The 9,552-nt window shown below is 38.7% G+C and overlaps 1 pseudogene; it reads left to right on the top strand.

The window, feature by feature from the left end:
* On the top strand, window positions 6,416–7,235 carry LOC100419762 (zinc finger protein 773 pseudogene; annotated as a pseudogene).

Raw genomic sequence — 9,552 nt, forward strand, 5'->3', positions numbered from 1 at the left:
TTATTACTGAAAATCGTGGGAACAAGCCTAGTTTCTGGTCTACATGAAAATATTACTTCAACTTAAAAATCAGTTGATACTTGGTATGCTTGTTTTTCTGCAGGTACTGATATTTCACTCATTTCTACAACATTGTTTTCTTCTACTTTGAAACATTTTGGCAAATACATTCATATTTTAATAATATAATGTTTATTGACCTTTCAAAATTAGAAATTATTGTATGCACATTTTTTAAAACTCTAGAAAACAAAAAAATTAAAGTATGAAAACTTTTTTAAAAAAATAAATAGAATCCTATCTCTTACCACCAAGAGACAAATACTGTAATGAGTTAATTTTGCATATCAATTTGGCTAGTCTACGGGTGCCCAGTTGTTTGGTTACCAACTTTTCTTAGATGTTGCTGTAAGGTATTTTATATTTATAATCACTAGACTTTAATAAGGCAGATTACCCTGCATAATATGGCTGGGCCTTATCCAATCAGTTGAAGACCTTAATAGGAAAAACTGTTTTTTCAGAGAGGGAGGAACTTGGCCTCAAGACTATAACATAGAAATTCTGCCTGTTCTCAGCCTGCTGGCCTGATCTATAAAGTTCAAACTCAAGACTGCAAGTTTAAATTTTGCCTGAGTTTTCAGCTTACTGTTTTATCCTGTGGAGCTCAGACTTGCCAGCCGCCAAAATCACATAAGTCAATTCTTTAGAATAAATATCATACATTACTCTCTCTCTCTCTCTCTCTCTCTCTATATATATATATATATGAATAAATAAATAGCATATATATGATATATATGTATAGATAATTTAGATGATACATATGATATGTCTGTATATATGTATAGTAATATGTATGTATATCTGTGTATATATACATATATAGATATATATGTGTGTATGTGTATACTGCTGTTTGCTGCTGATAAATCACAACTAAGTGCCTCTCTGGTAATTGTAGTAAGCCAAAAGGTATTAACATGCAGTGCCCAAGTTTACTCCACGCATCTTGTTCCCAATGATGAGTTAAAGTGAGGGTAATGCCACAAGCCAAAGAATGCAAGAAACCACCAGAAGCTGAAAGAGTCAAGGAAGAATCCTCTTCTAGAGCCTTCAGATGGAGTGTGACCCAGCTGACATGGGATTTCAGAGGTTCAGCCTCCAGAATTGTGACAGAATAAATTTCTGTTGCTTTAAGCCAATAACTTGTTATAACAGCCTTAAGAAACTAATATCACTCCCCAAGAAAAATCTTGCATGTAACTCTATCTGAGTCTCATGCTGAGACACATGACCCAAAACAGTGGATTCCAGGAGTGGTCCTAGAAAATAAAAACAATAACATCCCCAAACATGCCATAACTGTAAAATTGTTACATTTTCACCCATGGTGAATGAGAATGGGATACTGGTGGAAGTTAATGCGTTGGTTGATGCATACGTCAGGTGCTTGGGAAATGAGCAAGGAACTGTAACTCTAATAAATCTTACAGAAATATAAAATAAGATAGTTCTTGGTGGGGGTTATTGACGTTGTGTTGGTAAATGAAGGTTGAGGGTAATTAGTCACCAATTAAAGACCTCTTTGGCAGCAGGTAAAAGCCAGAGGACCTCTTCGGTAGCATAAAAAGTGGCTTCTACATCTTGCAACCAGAAGGCAGGAAAAGCTGAAGACACAGTAAGATCTATAGCAAGATGCCCAGATATCCATGTTATCTACCACCACTACACCAGAGCCTCTCTTTCAGCTCACATTTAGAGAGATATGAGGAATACTTATACCTAGCTGAAAGAGGAGAGAAAAAGCCAAGTTTGGTTTATGGGTAGGTTGGTTCAATGTGTGGGTCCAAACCAAAAATGCATTACAGTTTCCTGTTAATGTAGCTTCCAGTTGATAAAGTTTCCCAAGTCTCATATTGAAATGTAATCCCGTGTTGGTGGTGGGGCCTGGTAGGAGATGATTGGATCATGGTGTAACACCATCCCTCCTAGTACCATCCTCACAACAGTGAGTGAAATCTCGTGAGATCTGGTTGTTTAAAAGTGTGTATCACTTCTCCCCTCACTCTCTTGCACCTGCTTTCACCACGTGATATGCTTCTACCCTCTTCACCATGATTTTAAGCTTCCAGAAGCCTCTCCAGATGTCAGCATAATGCTTCCTGTACAGCCTGCAGAAATGTGAGTCAATTAAACCTCTTTTCTTTATAAATTACCCAGTCTCAGGTATTTATTTATAGCCAAGCAAAAAGAGTCTAATACACCTGTCAAGCCACTTAAGGGAGGTACTGAAAGGGAGTGGTGAGGCAAAATATACTCAAATGGACAGAGTTTTGGGCAATCCCTTTGGTTATATACTTCGTCAGAAAGAGAAGTGTCCCAAGGTAAGAATATGCACGGATTCATTAGCACTGACAAAGGGCTTCATTTGTGGTTAGATATTAGGGTTGTGTAATGGAGATCTGTGAACATATCTATCTGAGTGAGGCCCAAGTGTGAGGATCTTTGTATCAATGTGTTAATGTCCAACAGAGTGCATCCATCATTAAGGAGCACTGAAAAACCAAGTAGACAAAATGACTCAAGTAGCTTAACACAGCTTGTCTTTTCTGTGAACCATTCCAGTGTTGACTCTATGTGCTCATGTAACTATGATAGCAGGGAAGGCTATGCCTGGGCTCAGTAATATGGTGTCACAATCATAAGGCCAATCCAGATTCTGCAACTGCTGAACATGTAATGTGCTAGTCACAGAGAAAAAAGTTAAAATTCACCAATACAGCACCATCACTTTTGAAGCAAGTACCAGACTGGTGGTGGTGGCAAGTTGACTTACACTGGATTCATTCTACTGTGGAAGGAGCAAGGATCTATCTTGACTGGAAAAACACATCTATCCCTGTATAGTCTGCCTATCCTGCCTCTAGGGCCTCAGCTAACACTAGTAGACAAAAAGTTTACAGTGTCAGATTCACCTGTACAACATTTCACAAAGTATCACCTTGAAAAAACAGATCCATTGCCAAGGCAAAAATTACACTGGACAAAGTTAATCAGTCAAGGAAAACTTTTGTCAAAGCTATTACAATTGGGGAGAGAAGACAGAACTGTCTGAATTTTACAAAAGGCAGAGTGTTTTCTGATCACTGGGGTGAGTACACTGAAAACTAAAGGAGGATGTTAGAGGGGAGGTTGATCATTGAAATTTTGAAATTTATCGAACACATTGAGTTATTCCTGAGTTTCCAAGTGTTTTTCTCTGTGATTTGGCCTCCTCTGTTTGCTAAATGGTGCTTATTAAAGGTAGGCTCTTAATCTCCCACCTAGACTAGGAGACAGTGATAATCTGTTCCTTGATGATTTTATTTCAAAGGGATGGCTCCCAGTTCCTTAAGACATTCTGGTATGTAGAACTTGCAAGAGGTTTTTTTGAAACATTTACATCTCAAAGGGGCAGGGATAAAACATACTCTTATAAGTTTTCTAAAGCAAGTGTTTTAAGAAAAGGGAGATCAGGGCCTAGAGCAGGGGTGTCCAATCTTTTGGGTTCCCTGGGCCACACTGTTAAGAACTGTCTTGGGCCACATATAAAATAACACTAAAGATAGATGACAAGCTAAACAAAAAAACTTATAATATTTTTTTAAAAGTTCACAAATTTTTGTTGGGCTGCATTCAAAGCCATCCTGGGTCACATGCAGCCCACAGGCCACAGGTTGGACAAGCTTGGCCTACAGCCTGTCTAATGTTTAATAGCTTAGGGGAACATTCTAACAAATAAACTGACGGCAAGATAGATCAACGGAATGACCTTTTTACGACTCTTAAAGACCGGCTTAGAGATACAACACTGCAAGAATAGAGAACCATCTTCCAGAATGCAGTACACATCCTAAATCAATAAATATCATATGGTATCTATGTATCAATAAATTTCATATGGTTTTCTACCCAATAGGTAGAATATCTAGGCCCAGGAACCAAAGGGTGGCAGTAGGAGACGCTCGGCTTACCATCACTCCCTGTGACTCATTTGGAGAATCTGTGATTCTTATCCTTGCAAACTTAATTCTGTGGGAAATCATGATTTACTGATTACGATTATCCAAAAGAAAATAACCTGCAATGAGGCACAGCAATTTTCCCATTCAATGTTAAGGTCCAGCACTGCTCTGTCACTTCAGGCTTCTCATGCCAAGAGACAGTTTACTACTGGCTGCAGAGCCAACAATGTACATCTCATCTCAACATGTAGCATCACATTAATAGCTTGAAATTGTCCAAAGTGGGAATACTTACACCATGAAAACTGCAAATGCTACCAATCAGGGCTCCCTGCCCATACCCCCAGAGCTGGCTATTAAACATTTACCAGCACACCATTGACAGCAGGCAAGGAAATGAGTCTCCATCACACAGGAGTAATTGACCTTAAAATCAGGAAGAGAAGGTATTTCACTGGCAATAGCAGTGTTATCTCTTTGAACTCAAAGAACCTTGACCTAGTCTGAGGGTCTTGAAAATCTCCTGATTATTTCCACGTGTCAGAGAACTAGTTATTACTCCCACACATAGCTAAGGAAAATCTCTAGATACATTTACCACAAAGTCTCTCAACCTTTTGGCCCCCAATAGTGGAAAGTTTTTTTTTTTTCTCTCTCTCTTTATTTTCCTGAAACCACCATTCTCTCCACAACAGGAAGGACAGTGGGAAGGACCATTTCCTCTAGGGAAAACTCCCTCCCTCACTCACAGGATGCGGTCATTTAGAGAGGGATTGTTTTGGGTTTGTTTTTTGTTTTGTTTGTTTTTTTTCTTGGTTTGTTTTTTGGTATGGACAAGGCAACTCCAATAGTTTTCAAGATAATTTCTGAAATCAGTGTTGTTCTGTATAAATAAAACCATGTGGGGAAAAGCAGCTCTACAGTCTAAATCTTTAGGAGAATATTTTCTCTAATTCCTCAAAAAAAAAATGTTTGGCTGAAGATAAACCCAATTTATATTACATTTTGCATCTTACTCCATAGTATCTACATTCAAAATTATCATTCTTAAATTAGGTAGGTAGTTATCTTACTTTCTTGTAACTATCTTGATAATTTTTTCTAAAACAAAGGATGGCTATTTCAGTTGATCTTCAGACAATTTGGCCACAATTACCTGTTCCCTTGCTTAAAAAATGTCCCTCTTTCACTACAAACACATACTTGAGTTTTTTCTCTCTAAAATGCATTTTTTCATGTGAAGACATCTTAGGGCATATCACAATATTATATTTAACATACTAGTTCTTTCCCCTCAAGTTCTTATAATATTGATAAATTGCAAATAATTGTATGTCAGAATGGCATATATGAAATGTATATTTTCCTATCTAAATGGATTCTTCTATGTAGTTTATGTATCAAATTGCATGTTGTATATAGGAAAATAGTAGAAAATAAATATCTCTGTATGTCTATTAATTTGGGGCAAATTCCTAGAAATGAAATTACTTTAATTTTAAAATTATGCAAAGTTCGAAAATTTTGCTACGGTCTTGCTAAGTCAACCTCTAGGAGTATCTAAATTTTACATTCCTCACAACTACGTATGGGGGCACTTTTTCCCTTTCCCATTTACAACCAAATTCTACCTTAAAAAGAAAGTGTGGTGGCAGTCATTCTGGCTCTTATAATTTAGGTTCATATAACTGCAGGAGCACTTAGGAACCATACATATTAGCACCTTCCTGGTCGCATGAAATTATCCAACTGTAGTGGTTAGGAGAGTTCTAGGTGTGTATTATGGACAGAATTGCGTCCCCAACAAATTCATATATTGAAGCCCTAACCCCCAATGTGACTGTATTTGGAAACAGAGCCTTTAAAGAGTTAATTAAGGTTAAATGAGGCCTTAAGGTTGGGGTCCTAATTCAATAGGAATGGTATCCTTATATAAAGGGGAAGAGACACCAGGATTGGACACACACAGAAAAGCCACGCGAGCACACAGCAAGAAAGGGAGTTGTCTGTAAGCCAATGAGATAGATCTCAGGAAAAACCAAACTTGCTGACAACTCGATCTTGGATTTCCAGCCTCCAAAACTGTGAAAAAATAAATGTCTATTGCTTAAGCCACCAAGTCTGTGGTATTTTGTTATGGAAGCTCTATAAGACTAATACGGTGCCTGATTATGTGGACAGGATTTCAGCCATGGCAAAAACTGCTTGGAGAGAGCCTGACCTGTTTGTTTGCAGAGTAAAGCCTAAGGAAGCACCTTTGGAACACAGTGTTTTTGTACATGGAGTGTCACATGTCAAGGCTTCCACGACAGGAATGCCTAGCCAGAAGGCCCACTCCAGTGCAACGTGTGGTCCAGTTTGAAAGATATTGTGTACATGACAGAGGCTTCTGGTTCAGAGCAAGCCTTTACCAGCACCGGAAGCTGAATAGTGGGGAGAAGCCCTTAATAAGAAAAGATGGCAGGGACTGAGTTTTGAAGAATGGCAGAGTTCACCTGTCATAAAAGCCCTTCAGATATAGGAAGGGTAAGAAGGATTTTCTGACCAGCTCAGGTCTTCTCAAGCAACAGGTCACTCACAGTGGGGAAGGGGTGCAACACAGGAGCACCAGGTGGGAGGAGGCCTTTCACATTGGACAAAGGCACTACAGAAGTCTTGAGCATCAGAAAGCCTTTAATCACAATAAATACTTGTTAAGCACCAGAGAATATATACTGAATAAAATCCTTATGAAAACAGCAAATGCAGAAAATTACTTAATCATAAATACAACTTTATCATACAGGCAAGAGTTCACACTGAAACCCCTTATACGCCAAACAACTGTGGGAATTTCCTTAGCCAGTGCTTCAACTCCACTCAACATAGAACAGTTCATATTAGAGAAAGGCCTTTCGAGTGTAGCAAATGGGAGATATCAGTTATCTGCAACCACACACCTACTAAGCACTGGAGAGTTCACACTGAAGAATTCAAAAGGGCATTTAGAATGCAGCAAATTTGGACATTTTTTCACATCTCCAGCCTCATTAAACATCAAGGTATCCATAATGAAGAAAGGCTTAATTAATGAAGTGAATGTGGGGAATTCTCTAACCATATCTCTAAGTCTCTTTCAACACCAGAGAATGCAGCAAGGTCTTATGAGTAAAGCAGATGTTGGAAATGATTTAGTAAAAAGTCCAACCTCATCTGACACCAAAAAGTTTGCTACAGAGAAAAGCCTTATGTGGGAAAAGCTTAAACCAAATGTCTGCTCTGATTCAGCAGCAGAAAATTCACAATCCAGATAGGCATTATAAATAAAATGAATTTAGGGAAAGCCTTCAGCCAAAGACTTAACTTTATTTGGAACCAGAAAGTTCACACTGGAGAAAGACTTCAGGAATGCAAGGAATGAAACAAAACCTGACACACACCAGAGAGACACTCTTTAAGTAGCCTTTACAACTAAATCTCATTCATCCAAATATGCATACTGGGGAGATTCCTATGAGTGTTGGATATATTGAACACTTTTTGGAGCTAAGTTGCATGTCCTCACCTGTCCAAGGACTTTACCAGAGTTATGTAGCCACTACTACCTGTGACAAAGTCAATTTCAACTCTACCAGCTGGCAGTTGTCCGTGGTGTGCATCAGCAAATTTCTGTGACCTCTCTCCAATTCCTGTAAGAAATTTTGAGTAGCCTAAGCCTATTAGGGGTTCCAGTTTGTGGAACCATTGTTTTACTCATAGATAAGACCCTTCTGTTTTAATTTCTTCTTAGTCATCCCATTGGTAAGGGAGGAATTCTAACTCTAGGGTTATGGAGATGGCTGGCCCCTGGACAGATGAGATTGGTAGCAGTTTATTAGCCACATAGACTCACAGCCTGAGGGAGGAGGACACTGCACATTGCACAGGGTCATACAGGTTTGCATTTGAGAACAAAGCGAACAATCAGGGAGATAGACTTTGTAGCTGTAAGATGTTAAGGTTACTCGTTTGCTGTGGGAGAATGGGATTGGCTTGTTTGGATAATTCCATGGGCCCGCAGGAACGTAAACCTGCTTGTCAGAAATAAGCAGGCACTGCGCCTAGTCCCCTTAATAAAAAGGGTTAATAGGCTAGGACACTTACCTGTCGGAACAGAGTGGGAAGGAAACATATTCATTAGGCCACCAGAGTTCCTCTTGACTTCACCAGATTTCAAGGCATTGCATAATAATAGGCCTTAATGGCTCACGCCTGTAATCCCAGCATTTTGGGAGGCCTACGCAGGTAGATCATTTGAGGTCAGGAGTTCAAGACTAGCATGGCCAACATGGTGAAACTCCTTCTCTACTAAAAAATACAAATATTAGGCAGGGTGCGGTGGCTCACACCTGTAATGCCAGCACTTCGGGAGGTCGAGGCGGGTGGATCACCTGAGGTCAAGAGTTTGAGACCAACCTGGCCAACATGGTGAAACCCCATCTCTAATAAAAATTAAAAATTAGCGAGGCGTGGTGGTGCCTGCCTGTAATCCCAGCTACTCAGGAGGTTGAGGCAGGAGAATCGCTTGAACCAGGAGGCAGAGGTTGCAGTGAGCCGAAATCATGCCACTGCACTCTAGCCTGGGTGACAGAGCAAGATACTGTCTCAAAAAAAGTAATAATAATAGGCCTTAATGCCTTAATTTTAAGTCTTATATCACCATCATCATTAGCTAACAGGACCTGAACTTGATTCTGCTTGCAGCTTGAAGGGAAGGTTTATCTTCTTCATGGACATTGTCGGTCTTAGTGATGCTTATTGATGGATTTTTCAAGTGTACATGTCATCCAACCCAAGAACAACTTGTTCCACATTGTTCTGGTTTCTGTGATAGTAACTTATTTTTAAAAATAATTAATTAATAGACTATTTTAGGGAAGTGTTAACATGAAATTGAACAGATAGTATAGACAGTATAAAAACTGAGCATATACCACTTCTCTACTCTGCAACTTACCCTATTATTAACATCTTGCATTAGTGTAGCACATTTGTTACAACTGATGAACCAATATTGATCATTATAATTAAGTGAAGCCTATAACTTACATTAGGGTTCATTCTTTGTGTTGTACAGTTCTATGAGCTTTGACACTGCATGTCATCCATCCATCATTACAGTATAATGCAGAATAATTTCACTACCCTAAAAATGCCTGCACTGCACCTATTGACCTCTTTCCCTTCCTGCTGAAATCTGGGAAACCACTAATATTTTTAACCATCTCTATGGTTTTGTCTTTTCCAGACTGCCATATAGTTGGAATTATACATATATATATATAGCATTTTGAGATTGGCTTCTTCATAAGTACTCATGATTCCTCCATGTCTTTTTGCAGCTTAATAGCTATTTTATTTTTATTACTAAGTAATATTCCATCATATAAGTATGTATACTAGTTTGTTTATCCATCACTTTTTGAGGAACATCTTGTTTGTTTCTGGTTTTTGGCATTTATAAATAAAGCTGCTATAAACAAAAATTGTACTAGAATAATGAATGAAAACAATACATAATCATTGC

This window comes from Homo sapiens, chromosome 8 (genome assembly GCF_000001405.40).
Source record: "Homo sapiens chromosome 8, GRCh38.p14 Primary Assembly".
Lineage (NCBI taxonomy): Eukaryota > Metazoa > Chordata > Mammalia > Primates > Hominidae > Homo > Homo sapiens.